The sequence below is a fragment of the Homo sapiens genome, chromosome 5, assembly GCF_000001405.40.
Source record: "Homo sapiens chromosome 5, GRCh38.p14 Primary Assembly".
Taxonomy (NCBI): domain Eukaryota; kingdom Metazoa; phylum Chordata; class Mammalia; order Primates; family Hominidae; genus Homo; species Homo sapiens.
The window spans coordinates 60,435,973-60,451,602 of NC_000005.10; the positions used below are offsets into that span (position 1 = coordinate 60,435,973).

Below are 15,630 nucleotides of genomic sequence, written 5' to 3' on the forward strand. Positions count from 1 at the left end.
CTACCAAGGCTAGTAGGGAAAAGGAACACAGCAGAAATGATTGCTATGTAAACAAAAGTTCAGAGTAGATAATGAAACTCTGGAGAAGCCTGCCAGAGAAGCTTTTCAGGTAGCATTTCTTTAGGTAGGCAAATTCATCTGAATTTATCAAAGTGCTGAATATTGATAATTTGTGAATTAGTTTTCTGGTTCTGCTGTTAAAAAATCTTTTGGGGAATGACAACAATCATCCATTGATCCCAAGTAGTACCAATTTATTAGGAACAAGAAATGTGGCCATATTATTTGTTCTGAAATTACTAATAGTGTCTTATATGAAACCAATAGCCCAGAAACAAAGTCAAAAATCAGTTAGACTGTACAGCAAGTTTCTAATATTAATCCTCAATAAAGATTTTTAGAAATCCACCAGCTTTCATTTATTTCCCTGAGCTCTCCTTTGAATGTTTTCAAGACATTCAAATTTTCTCCTACACAAAATCCTATGCTTTCAATACAAGAGCACTGTATTTGTATTTAAAAATTAATAGTAAGCCAAAACAACTCATGATGTGTTCCAAGTAGAGTTCAAAGTAGATTAAGATCAAGAATTCATTTAATCTAGCTTGAGCTTCAAACAGAAAATACTCATCCCTTCCACACCCTTTAGAATTGAAGTATGATTGCCCACTGCCTAAGCTACTTGCAGGTGGCAACCATTATTCATACATGTTTAGAAGCAGTAGGAGTCTTCTCAGGCCACTAGGATGCATTCGGTTCACTGAAGCATACTGAACACTACCCACAGAACTTATGCTGTTTTTAGAAGCATGAAATTAGGCTCAATGAAGTAATGGGCTAAATAACGGGAAAATTCAGCACTGTTTTTAAGTGCTGATATTTGACACTTTTCTGCAAGGAATCTCTGCTAATTATCCCTTTACCTAAAGGGAGCAGGCAACTGGCAGAAAAAATATTATGAACATTGTACAGAGAATAGACTATAGTCATGTTTTAAAAACAAAATTCATAGGTTTGGAGCTAGAGGTCTTGAGTTCACACATATTCTGACTCGACCACTCTAGATGTGTGACCTCAACACAATCACTTTTTCTCCCCCACACAATCACTTTTTCTCCCCCACATCATTTCCTCATCTTCAACAGAATATCTACTCTATCTGGTTGTTGTGATAGTTGAACATATGTGAACCTATTTCAAACTGTTGCTTGGCTCTTTGGAAGGTACTCAATAAACACTGGTTGGGCACAAGCTTTGGAATCAGACAAATCTAAGTTTAAATCCCAATTCCATTTATTAACTGGTTGTTTTGGGCAGGCTATTTGACCGGTCTCTAAGTCTAAGTTTATTCATCTGTAAGGTACAATGAAATTACTACCCTTCAGGCTCACTATGAGGATGAGACAATATATAATGTACTGAGCAAAGTGCCTTATACAAAGTATTAAATAAATAAAGCCTATTGTTTCACATTTGACTCTACAGCACAAGAAAAGCTAAGTGGCCAGCTTGTGGTTTCATTGAAAGTTAGTGGTGGGTATCCTCTCCTATCTTTGGACTCCAAGGTTCTCTCTGTTTCCCAATAACCTACTGGTAGACTTTTCCACTGCAATTTGCATGGCAGGCCTTGAATAGTCTTAATACACTTGGGCTTTGTCTTATTTTACTTTATGTTTATATTAATACCCTTTCTTTGAACATAAATTCAGAAAGAATATGTAAATTGAGGATATTCTTTAGATCTTTGAATCCATTATGGAAATTCAGTTGCCAGTGCTTCCATGGTGAAAGTCTTTCTTTCTAGCTTCAGAAGCATCCAGATAAACAAATTAATAAAAGCTTATGTTTCCATATCAATCCTGCTGTAGACATTTTATGTCTGGCCATAGAAGCTATGATGAATTTTTATTTCTACTTTCCTTCATTAGAACAACTTTTGCAAAAGAAGACTGACTTTGTCTTAAGGAAAAAAGTCATAAACCAGCCTCATTAAGAAGCCATCTCTTTTGTGATTGACAGCAGGCAAATGCAGGACAGTGGGCACTATCTGAGAATGGAGTGAAGTGACCCTTGGTGAGGGCTGGAATATGCCCTATAAATTTAACAGATTTTAAAAAGCCTTTAGATAGCATTCGTCTGTTCTGACATGTCAGATAATTCATAGTGGAGAGAAATCATTTTAATGCAATTATTACGGGAAAGCCATTAACCAAATGCTAACCATGTTCTGCATTAGGGAATTTACACTTGCAAGTAATAATAGGGATCAAACAAGGGAGGGAGAGTAAAACTAGAGCACACAGATGAGAAAGAAGCAGGGAGAAGTACTTGGAAATGCCTTTCCTGTTAACCTCATGTAAAAGAGCAGCTCTCCTATCTTCACCATCTAAACCCTTACTCTGCTTTATTCTTCTGTGTGGTACTATTACCACTTGATATTTATATTTTTAGCTAATTTATTTTTTGTATGCTTCCCCCTTTAAAATGTAAGCTCTATGAGGGTAGAATATTGTGTGTATTTTGTTCATTGACTGTACCCCTTGTGTCTAGTACTGAGCCTGGCATATACATGCTTCAATACGTGTGTTCATCAACAGAAGAGAGGCCATTACCTGAGTAACCCAAGTCAGTCTACACAGACCTGGAAATTAGGACGTCTATTCAGGGCCTTGAAAGATGTCAGAAAAAATGAGCAATTTTTTTTTTGACAGTCATTACTTTCTCATAATTGTAGAGGTTGAAGAATGGTTAAAAGTGAGAAGAGGAAATAAACATATTAATAGGAGGAAGGTGCTTGATTGTACTCCTGACAAAAGAAACATGAATTAAAATTAAAACAAAGTAGCATTTTTTTTCCTATGAGATTAGCACCTGTGTTGGTAGGGTGGTAAGAAAAGCAGTCATTCCCAGACAATCTTCTGGAAAGGAAGATTGGTAAATTTGGTAACTGCTTTTATCTAATAATTCTACCCTTAAGATTTTGTCCTACGGATATACTTGCACAAGCATGCACTGTTGGAGATAGGAAAAGGTTGAGACAACCTAAATGTCCACCAGGAAGGAACTGGCTATGTACATGATATGACATATAAGTAGAACACCGTGTGGCCTTTAAAAAGAACAATGCGTCCCCGATACAATATTTCACCTCTCCAGAAGTTCCCAGTTGATAACCACCAAACATTTGTTTAAATTCCCAAAATACCTTATGGCTTAATTAGGGACCATTGTTTTCACACCAATATCAAAGCTCTTATAACTGCGGAAATACATGTTTTTTACAGGATAATAGACATCCCAGAAAATTGATACAAATGGACTGTGGATAATGAATATAAACTTCATTCCATCCTTAATAATTTTAAATTTAGCTTGATATTCATTCTAGATCCACCTCAAGATATATCTTCTCCATGAAGCTATCCTCCTACACCTCAGTGAGTACTGCATGACAAGCACCCACAATGACTCAGTCTCTGGAAGTCATATAGGAACAATTCATTCTATCCCAAATGGCATCAGAGTTTTGTATTGTCAGGTAAATTGATGCCTAAGAATTGTTGGAAATTATCTGCTATATGAAACCTTCTTTCATCCATAAGTTAAATAAGAAATATGGCCACAACATCCATGTAGATGTTTGAGTGAGAAACTGAGACATCATATCAAATTGCTTTCTTTCTTTTCCCTAACATTTCTTCAGCAAATCCTGTCCATTCTACTTTCAAAATAAATCTCAATTCCACCCACCTCTCTCCATCTCCACTGTTGCCAGTTGAGCCCCGGCCATGCAGTCTCTCACCTACAAGAGTGCCCAACTGTTTTCTCTGCTTTCACTCATCTTCCCACTCTCTGTCTTCCATCCATCCTGGGTGCAATTTTAAAAGTAAAGTATTATCTTTTTATTCCCCAGCTTAAAACCCTTCAAAGGCTTTCCATTGTTTAAAAAAAAAAACAAAAAAAAAAAACCCTAAACTGCATAACTTGGCCTGAAAGTTCCAGTGACCTATCCTATCTCTCTCCAACTCTCTAACTTCAACCCATGGTACTTTCTCCCTCCTTCACTTCACTACAGCATTGATGATCTGTGAGTTTCTAAATGTGCCAAGCTCTTTCCTACTTCAGAGTCTTTGCGAGGTAACAGCCAGAGCCCAGTTAGCAGCAAGCTAACGACAAAAACGTCTTAGTGGGGGATGAGTGAGAGGTACTAATTCTATACTTATGCATCCAAAACAATACTCTTGTCATTTTTGACTAGTTTGATAATGATGATTTCTTATCCAAAACCTACACCCTTCCTTCTATATTCATTCAACAAATACCTATTACATTTATGTTTGGAGAACTTTCCTTGTTACTTTAGAATACAAAAAAAATAAACACAAACCCTGTTTTCAAGGAGTTTACAGTCCATCAGGCAACACAAGATTTCTTCGTGTGTAATTAAACTAAGCCAACATGAATCAAGTAAACAGGAAAAGTATAAGATAGGCTGTGAAATTTCAGAAACATAAACAATCCTGGTATGATAGGTGAAGGATCGTGGAGGAAGTCTATTTGAGGTTCATTTGAAGAACTGATAGAATTTCTAAAGACACAGGAGAGATAGGGCGTAGAAAAGGGTATTACAGGCAGAGGAAGCAAAAGATAGATATTGAAATGCATATATATTGAAAAATGCACAATGTGTTTAGAAATAGTGAGTAAAGAGAAGGTTGGATTTGAGACAAAATATGAAAGCCCACAAATAGCAGACTAATAATAATAGCATAAATTCATTGACTGTTTACTATGTGCAGGATAATCATTTAATTATTACAACAACCCTATAAGGCAGCACTATGATTATCCCCATTTTTCACCGAGGCAACTAAAGCACAAAGGAGTTGAATAATTTTTCCAAGGTTACAAAACTAGGAAGTAGTGGGACCAGGATCAAAATCCTGGCAGTCTAGCTTCAGAGTACATGTTAAACATGTAGGAAATTAACCATTATCACATAGAAATCAAGATTCATTGAAGATCTTTGAGCAAGAATGTGGCATAATTGGACCTTTGATGACTTATTCTGGTTGCGATGTAAAGAATATCCTAGAGAAGAAACAACTAAAGCCAGGAAAAGCATCTTTATGGAACCAAAAAAGAGCCTGTATAGCCAAGACAATCCTAAGCAAAAAGAACAAACTGGAGGCATCACGCTACCTGACTTCAAACTATACTACAAGGCTACAGTAACCAAAATAGCACGGTACTGGCACCAAAACAGATATATAGACCAATGGAACAGAACAGAGGCTCAGAAATAACACCACACATCTACAACCATCTGATCTTTGACAAACCTGACAAAAACAAGCAATGGGGAAAGGATTCCCTATTTAATAAATGGTGTTGGGAAAACTGGCTAGCCATAAGCAGAAAACTGAAACTGGACCCCTTCCTTACCCCTTATCAAAAATTAATTCAAAATGGATTGAAGACCTACACGTAAGACCTAAAACCATAAAAAGCCTAGAAGAAAACCTAGGCAATACCATTGAGGATATAGGCATGGGCAAAGATTTCATGACTAAAACACCAAAAGCAATGGCAACAAAAGCCAAAATAGACAAATGGGATCTAATTAAACTAAAGAGCTTCTGCACAGCAAAAGAAACTATCATCAGAGTGAACAGGCACCCTACAGAGTGGGAGAAAATTTTTGCAATCTATCCATCTGACAAAGGACTAATATTCAGAATCTACAAGGAACTTAAACAAATTTACAAGAAAGAAACCAAACAACCCCATCAAAAAGAGGGTGAAGAATATGAACAGACACTTCTCAAAAGAAGACATTTATGCCCCCTGCAAACGTATGAAAAAAAAGCTCATCATCACTGGTCATTAGAGAAACGCAAATCAAAACCACAATGAGATACCATCTCATGCCAATTAGAATAGCAATCATTAAAAAGTCAGGAAACAGCAGATGCTGGAGAGGATGTGGAGAAATAGGAATGCTTTTACACTGTTGGTGGGAGTGTAAATTAGTTCAATCATTGTGGAAGACAGTGTGGTGATCCCTCAAGGATCTAGAACCAGATACACCATTTGACCCAGCATTCCTATTACTGGGTATATACCCAAAGGACTATAAATCATGCTGCTATAAAGACACATGCACGCGTATGTTTATTGTGGCACTGTTCACAATAGCAAAGACTTGGAACCAACCCAAATGCCCATCAATGATAGACTGGATAAAGAAAATGTGGCACATATATACCATGGAATACTATGCGGTCATAAAAAAGGATGAGTTCATGTCCTTTTCAGGGACACGGATGAAGCTGGACACCATCATTCTCAACAAACTAACATAAGAACAGAAAACCAAACACCACGTGTTTTCACTCATAAGTGGGAGTTGAACGATGAGAACACATGGACACAGGGAGGGGACCATCACACACCAGGGCCTGTCAGGGGGTGGGGGGACTAGGGGAGGGATAGAGGAAATACCTAATGTAGATGACGGTTGATAGGTGCAGCAAACCACCACAACACGTGTATACCTATGTAACAAACCTGCACGTTCTGCACATGTATCCCAGAAATTAAAGTATAATAATAAAATAATAAATAAATAGCCAATACAATATTAAAGGCCAAAAGTAAGGGTTTAGATAAGCACTATAAAAGTGGGAATGTAAAGCAAAGCCTGGGTAACAGTAGAAATCAGAGAACATTGAAATGGTTGGCTATGAGAGAAGAATCAGCAAACAACTCATTCTTAGGTCTCAAGTTTGGGTGGATAGAAAAATGGTTGCATCATTAATGTAAATATTTCAAATTAAACATTTATTTGAAAGAAAATATAGGTGGAATTTTGTTTTAAATTATACGGAATTTCTATTAATGTTGAAGCTTTTGTGGGGCAGATGGTAGAGCTTTCCAGAAACAGTAGATCTGAACATAGGAAAGAGGCCTGACTTGAAGGTTAGGGTTGGGGTGTCATCCCTGCAGACATGGTGCAACTTAATATCCACTCTCAGGACATCAGAAAGAGGACCACGGAAGAAACAGAAAATAAAACAGAAAGATACGAGCAAATAGACAGTTGAGTGTGATAGACATTAAGAAAGAGCCCATTCAAAATAAAGGGGAATTTTAATGGTTTCAAGTGTTATCAAGAGGTGAAGAAAAATGAAAACTGAGAAATTGACTTTTTAATAATTTGGAGACTGAGAGAAGAAACCAGGTAATAAAGATTTCCAGACCTCAGTGTATGAAGAAAAGGTGTAGATAGTGGTCATAGGTCATTCAAGAAGTTTGGAGGTAAAAAGAAAAGTGAACGTTAAGGTATTCAACTAGTAAAGTCAAGCAAAATTTTTGTTTATTGAGCTGTTTCAAGGATGGAGATTCTAATGATGTCTGCAAACAAAGAAAGAGGTAAATGGACAATGAGAGATTAAAAGTTAAAAAGTTGCTTAGGCAATATTTAAGAAGAAGAGAAAGCACACTTAAATGAGGAGGTTCTTTTTCCCCAGGGTAGAGAAAAGAATGCTGATGTAGAAGAATTTGAGGAGTGAAATTGAGCGGCTTATGTCAGATGAACTTAACATTCTCAAAAAAACAAGGTTCATTTGCCCAGAGTAAGACAGTGGGTGACACCACAGGTAATGCGATAAAGAATCCAAGAAGTAAACAAAGCAAGTAATAATAAGAACTAGCTAAAATTAGGCAGTATGAACAGAGGGAACCAAGTAAAACAGTGATGCTACTTTCTCCAGCAAAATTAGCATTGCCATCTCAGAGAGCTGAGAAAGTAGACATGACAGTTAGCTGGCTGTCATACCCCCAGCTACACACTCAGCATTCAATTACTCACAAAATATTTACTCAACATCCACTGGGTGCTAGAATCATGAAAACAATGGCTACACATCAATGTGGACAGCTTTGGTCCAAAACATGGCATATCCCACCTCACCCACCCTACCCACCCACTCACCCAAAGCCATGCTTTCATTACTTGTGATTACTGATAACTCTTGGTGACCAACTCATAATTAGGTATGTGTTAGGACTCTGGTAGCTCAGGAAATAGGTCCTCCATGTTATAAACACCCCAGGAAATTTAGAAAAGTATTTGGTGAAAAGCGCCTTCATTTAAGGATCCTAGAACTTCAAATGTGGTTTCTTAATAAATGGTGATATTTCAAAGTTGACATTATGGCTTCACCCATTCTGTCCTTACTTCTGTTAAACTCAAAGCTGGTCCCTTCACCTCTAACAGCATGCTGTTTTTTTCTTATGCAGTTACTTCACACAAGCCCCTGCCAGTGATTTCACCAGGGCTATGTCCTGCCATACATTCATTGTTTGCATCCATTCTTCTGTTCATCAAGCATTCACTGAGTGCCTATGCTATGCCAGGCAGTGGGCTCTGTGGTTACAAAAACACAGTCCTTATTCCCAAAGATATTATAGTACCAGTAGAGGAGGAAGAGTAGAAGAGTCACGGTAAAATACAGATTAAGTACAGTGGTTAAAAATAAAGGAGAGAGATCAGCATTGCTTAAGGGGATCAGACAAAGTTTCATAGAGGAGGAGGCTCTTTGATTGTTGTTTGAAGGACAAGGAACCATTTTCCAGATGGGCGAGGTATGTGTGGGAGAACACTTTGGCAGAAGGAATAACATGTAAAAAGGCACTGGGGTGTGAAACAGCAGACTGGATAGACAATTGCAAGCAGTCCAGGAGGGGAAGGGTGGGGATGTGGAAGAGTGGTCAGGGAGAGGGCAGGCAGGTAAGAAAGAAATGTCAACCAGGGGAGGACCTGCTACTGACAAGCCGTTCTGGGGGGTCTGACTTTCTTCCTGTGGCACAGAGGTTATTAATGCTTTGGAGTCATGGCTCTTTCAAAATCTATGATGCTATCAATCCTCTACTCAGAAAAAAAAAAAAAAAATCACCGAAATGGTGTCTACAAACACTCTGAAGTTCAGAAATTGCTTGGACTTCAGGTTAAAATCTTGTTATAGGCAAAGGGCTCATTTTTAGTTGATAAAAATAGCTGGAAGTATGTATACACAACAAGCAGGGCGTAACGTGATCCAATTTGTGTTTTAGAACAACAATTCAGCCAACTTTGTTGTGAATGGATTAGAAGCAAGTGAGACCAATGGTAGAATGAGCAATTAAGACATTATGACGACCATCTGGTCAGGAGATGATGAAAGAAACTGCCAAGAAATGTTTGAAAAAGATAAGAATGATTCAAGCTATCAGATGTTTAACTGCATTACAGTAATTAAAACAATGTTATGCTGTCCAACAAAAAGAGAAATCAATGAATTATATTAAAAAACTAGATCCAAAATTTTATATTATGTTTTTTCAAGGTAAAACTTAAAAAGCAAAGGATAGATTATTCAACAAATCATTATTCCACTGGCAAGTGGAAAACTATCTGAGAAAAATATAAAGTTAAATTCTTGCACTCCTATACAACAAAATAAATTCCAGATGGATTAAGATTTGCATGTAAAATAAAGAAACTGGAAGAAAATGTAGGAAAAGTGTGTGTGATCTTGGGATGATGAAGTCATTTCTAAACTAACTCCAAAGGCAGAAACTTTAAAAGGAAAACATCAAAGACTCAACCACTGCCCAGGGGCTGGGGAAGGGGGAAATGGGGATTTGCTATTCAGAGGGTATAAAGTTCCAGTTATGTAAAATGATTAAGTCCTAGAGATTTGCTGGGCAACATTATGCCCATAGTTAATAATACTGTATTATAGACATAAACACATTTTAAAGGGCAAGTCTCATGTTAAATGTTCTTACCACAATTAAAAAAGACTCAATCACATGCACAAAAACTTCTCATGTAAAAATATACCCAAGGGAAAAAGTCAAAAAGTGACTAAGAAACTTGGAAAAAAATATTTACATTATAAACAACCTATAGACACATGGATTACTATCTGTACTATATAAAAATTGTCAGTAAAATTAATTGGAAAATAAGCATCTCAAAAGAAAAATAAGTAAGGAACATTGATAGGCAATTTGCAAAGGATAAAACTACCCAACCTCACTAGTGACTTAACAAACACAGAAAAACCACAGTGAAATGCCATTTTCCCCATATCAGATTGGCAACATTTTTAGAAAACAACACTACTTAAGATACGGGAAAATGTGCCCTCTCATGCACTGCTGGTAGGAGAATAAACTGAAGGGGAAAAAAACTTTCTGGAGAGCAATTTGGCCAAAAAAATCAAACCTTTATGAATAACTATACTCCTTAACATACAAGCTCTGCATCCTAAGGAAATAATCCTGATTTAACTACCAGGAGATACACAATAATTTTTACAGTAGCAAAATATTTTAAATTTCATTGGCTAAGTTAATGTTATTTAACCATTAAAAAACTATAAAAAATTATCTTGGAGAAAAGTGTTTAAAAGGCATGGATAGATGTTCACACTAGTTCGTTAAATGGGGGGGAAAACAGACTTCAAAATCATATTATCATATACTAGCCTGAGACAACACCACTACCACCCCATACTACCTACCATAGCTAGACAAGAAATTCTAGGTTGGTTGAGATATTAATTTGAAGTACAAGTCAGTTGCATTGATACAACAAATGATACCAATATCGTTAGCAGTAACAGAAGTAACAAAGGGAAAAAATACACAACACCGAAAGCAGCAGGCTGATTCACAGTGATGTGTTAATAAGAGAATTCAGATGGAGAGCTAAGTTTCTATAATCCCTTCATTAGTCTAATGTAACACCTCTGGTATAGCACAATGGACCTTGGTATGCCTGCTCATACTGGCCTCTTCAACCTAATTCTGCGCCTGCCCCCTGCCAAGCTTTGGCCCAGAAATTAGAGAGGAAAACTACAGGTAGTTAGACCTGAAAATGTTGAAGGGACAGAAAAAGAGATTTGTGGGGGGCGCTGGAGGCCTCAGCACTGCCCTGGGGGCCTTGGCAAATTCTCCAGGAATGATAAAGATTGAAACAAGAAGGAAAACCCTACCTCAGATGGACGGCCTGATGGCAATGTGGTGATTGTTCTGGTGTCACTTCAGCACAGGAGCACTTGCACACCATACCGTGGCCTCCAGCTCTCTAACATGTGCTGATTGCTAGGAATCAAAGTTTGTATGGAGCAGGGCAAGTGGCATGTTCTCATCCATTGCCAATATAACATTTTCATTTCAAATGGTCCATATGGGGCCTCTGAAAATCTACAACTATCATCATATGGATAAATTTATCAATCAATAAAACCATATCACATGCTTCAGAATAGCATCTCAAGCAACTTACATTTTATTCTGAGATATGTCAGCATAGGGATTACAGCCTATAGTAGTTAAGCATAATTTGCAACGGAAAAACATGTTTCTACTTAGTTTGCCTTTGCAGGTTTATCTTTGTGATTGCTAATTCCTTTGCTTCTCCCCTCCTTTCAAAACTACAGACAAGAGATTCATCAGAAGACTTTACTCTGTGTTGAAAGCAACTGAATATAAAGTAGAAAAGAAGGAATAGCTTTTGAAAAAAAAAAGAAAGAAAACAAATACCCACACAAATCAGTGTGTGTTTAACAAGGGAAGTTATCTCAAAGGTCACAGATCTGCAGAGGAAACGTGCTATTTACCAATGGCGGGGAAGGAAAAATCCCAAAGACACATAAAACTCACTCTAAATATTTGCCACTCTGTTTTATTTAAGACCAGTGTGTATTAGCAGGGGCAAGCTGAGTACACACTGAGGACTTGACAAGGACACCAAGCTACAGGATCCAGTCCCTTCATCGGCAGCGAGAAGTTGCTTTCAACAGTGCCTAATTGGTTTCAGCAGAATTACCGTTACTATACTAGGAGGGTAGCCTCAGAGAGTATCTATCTTACTGGCCACAGTTCTTTGAGGATATATGTTTTTAAATTTACTTTGTTTATAGTATAGTCTAACTCAATTATTTGGGTTGGGTTTTCTCATGATTTTGCTTATTATCATTCATCTGTAATCTCACTCATAAAACTTGCTTGAATCTATTTTGTTGATTCAAAATAGATTCATTTTAAATCTATTTGATTCAAAATTCATTTGAATCCAAAATAGATTGGAACATTTACATCTGTTCCAAATAGAAGAAAATAATGAATGATATTTTGTTAAAATAAAATGCAATCAGTCAATTCTTAAAGTTTTCATTGATGATAAAGGCATCCTCTCCATACATTAAACCATATGTGACTTTATATTTAAAAATTCAAAAAATAATTACTTAAAAGCAAAATCATTCATTTACCAGAATAACTCAGAACAAAATGGTACCGTTAAAGACCTGACAGGATTTCTTGGAACAGAATGTTATTAGTTCATAAATTTAAGGCAGGCACACAGATGTCTGCCCTGCACATAACATAAAGCATTTTGCAACAGAAAAACCTTCATTCATATTTTGGCCATCAACACTACTCAATAATCACACCAGCAGGAGGTTTAGACTGTGTTCAGTGTTCTTCTTTCTCACACATTCAGACAGACAAAGACGTACACTTTCATTCTGAAGATGTCCATTTGGTTTTCCCCCACGTTTCATCAACAAACTCATGCCTCACCGAAATTCCTTTTCTGACTTACCTCAAGCATACAAATCTGGAACAGGAGTGTTGCTTCAGGGAAGCCAGCATCAGAATGGGATGAAGGAAAATGAAATCTCAGTTTCTACCAAGAATACAAATCTCTGACATTTGATAGCATCCCATCTAATCTCAGTGCTTTCATAGCAGATATTTTAATGAAAACAATTCAAGCTCCTGACGCAACAGAGGGTAGCCTTTGCATAATGTTTAGTTTCTAATGCCTCCAAAAGGTATCTGATATTTATTTATGATCCAAATATATTAAGCCTGAAATGGAAACACTTCTAGAATTTCCAAAGAGCTTTCATAAAGCTGCCTGAATAATTATTAGCAAATAAGTTAGTAGAAAATATTTTTAAGTTCCACTATTGTTTCTTTGGTTATTGTTTGTTCTCCCCATATCCCCCTTCACCCACCCCCCCAACTGCCCGCGCACACACACACACACACACACACACACACGATCATGAAAATATGTTTTAAAAGAGTTAAACACAGAAACCATTAATTTGCTAAAATCTCCCTAGATCCCATTTTTAAAGATCACCTGGAAAAATCTTAGGATTTTAAAATGTCCCAAATTCAGAAACCAGAGATTCAAGTGCAAAGGTCCTATAGGATGGCCACTGAGAAAGCTTCATTTGGTGTTCTGAAAGAAACAACCTCCTTCTAAATGGAATTGAAAAGTGAGAAACCATTATTCTCTCTCTTCATAATAATTGGAAATCATCATTCTCAGTAAACTATCGCAAGAACAAAAAACCAAACACCGCATATTCTCACTCATAGGTGGGAATTGAACAATGAGAACACATGGACACAGGAAGGGGAACATCACACTCTGGGGACTGTTGTGGGGTGGGGGGAGGGGGGAGGGATAGCACTGGGAGATATACCTAATGCTAGATGACGAGTTAGTGGGTGCAGCGCACCAGCATGGCACATGTATACATATGTAACTAACCTGCACATTGTGCACATGTACCCTAAAACTTAAAGTATAATAATAATAAATAAAATAAAAAATAAATAAAATAAAAAATAAAATTAGGGATAAGCTCTTGCTATATTGCCAAGCTTGGTCTTAAACTCCTGGGCTCAAGAAATTCTCCTGGCTTTATGGCAGTATGATTTGTAGTCCTTTGGGTATATACCCAGTGACGGGATGGCTGCGTCAAATGGTATGTATACATATGTAACTAACCTGCACATTGTGCACATGTACCCTAAAACTTAAAGTATGATAATAATAAATAAATAAAAAGAAAAAAAAAGAAGTCATATGTGGGAGTTTGAGGGTTTATAAAAGAGTTTTCATATGATTGTGGTGATGGTTATATGAATGTATACATGTGTTAAAATATATAGAACTATATACACCAAAAAACAAGTCAATAAAATTTTTTTTCAGTAAAAAAAAAAAAAGAAACTAAAGTAAAATCCTGTTTAACTGGAATCTAAATAATCAGAAGTTCACATACCATAATTTTATTGTCATTTTTATGAGAAAGAGACAAATAAAATAAAGCAGCTGATTCAGATACTTACCTTTTTAAAAAAATCTGTTAAGATATGATTGGTGGGGATTCAACCCCATATTTAGCTCATATATATCAAAAGACTTCTAAACCTGTGATTGATATTCATGACAATGTTAGTATTAAGTACATTTCACTATCTTCTAGGTATTCAAAAGGTGGTTTTGCCCCAATCTGACATAAATTCTAACCCCATGTTAATCACTATATAATTATTTAATTAACCTATCCCCAGCCTAGTTTGGACAAACTGAATTCACAACAAACTGAAAAATAGGGGTTAGTTGTTTTACTTGGAGAAGGGAGGGACAAAAGGGCTGAGTGAGCCATTTAAAACCATAATTTTAATATGCAGCATTTCTTTGTGGAACAATTAAATAACACAAGGTTAGAGACCAAAAAACTTGTATCTGCAATTTACTTTATATCAAAATAAATTTGGGAAAATCACTTAACCTCAATTTTACCAAAAGTAAATTAGGGCCACTATTATACTTCTTCTATCTCCCATGACACAAGAGTATGACATAAATACAAGTTTCATTGACCTGGCCAAATTGAACTGGATAAAGATAATTGGCCATATACATGGTGATATCTATCTTCAACTGCAGAAAATAGGATGAACCAATGATTTGACTACAAATATATAAATGCTATCTTTATGTCTTTATATGGGTATATTAGAATAAGATGCTTCCCCACCATCAACCTGCAGTTCCCTGTAAGGTTACCAGGCCATTACTATTACTGTCGCCTACATATAAATGACAAAGCAGAAGCAAAAATCATAAAAATAAATGGCCCAACATAGAAGATGGGTCAAAAATAGAACTTATAATCTTCAAAGCATTAAAGATAGTGCTCTGCATTAAGTAAGCACTTAATGTATTCTTGGAGCAGACTCTTGAACTGACACCCCACAGTTCTGGAGATCACTAGGCCTCCTAAGCACCCTATGGTAGACGGAAGCCCAGTGTCTTGTCAAAAATCCTAGATGCTCAAATGCGATGAAAATTACATAAGGAATATATTTCTGCTACTGTTTTTGATCACTTTTTAAACTGTTTTTATTGACATGTAATAGTTGTACATATTTGGGAGGTACATGTGATATTTTAATACCTGTACACAATGTATAATGATCAAGTCAGGAAAATTGGGATATCCATCAGCTCAAACATTTATCTTTTCTTTGTGATGATCATGTCTTTTTGCCCCTGTCTCTTTTTTGGCCTCTTTGCTACTTCTATAATAACACAAGTTTACTCCAAGTGAGTTCACAGCAAGCAATATATTCATAATAGCAGAGGCCCAAGTTATAATTCTAGTCTTGGCCGCTCTCTCAATAACTACAGGCCTTTAGGACGTCATAATAGATGTCTTTATTTTCCCATTCTTAGAAGGGATTAAAGGTGGAATTTGA

General features: G+C 36.6%; 1 protein-coding gene across 11 annotated transcripts in view; it reads right to left on the reverse strand.

The window, feature by feature from the left end:
* PDE4D (phosphodiesterase 4D) overlaps positions 1-15,630 on the reverse strand; it is a 1,553,091-nt gene that overhangs the window by 1,466,935 nt on the left and 70,526 nt on the right. Inside the window, exon 1 of one of the 11 annotated variants that reach the window (XM_011543473.2) lies at positions 12,665-12,720. The exons of the other annotated variants lie outside the window; for them this stretch is intronic. The gene's annotated coding sequence lies outside the window, so the exon portion shown is untranslated. Of the gene's footprint in view, positions 1-12,664; positions 12,721-15,630 lie in introns of those variants that run through there. 11 annotated transcript variants of the gene reach the window in all.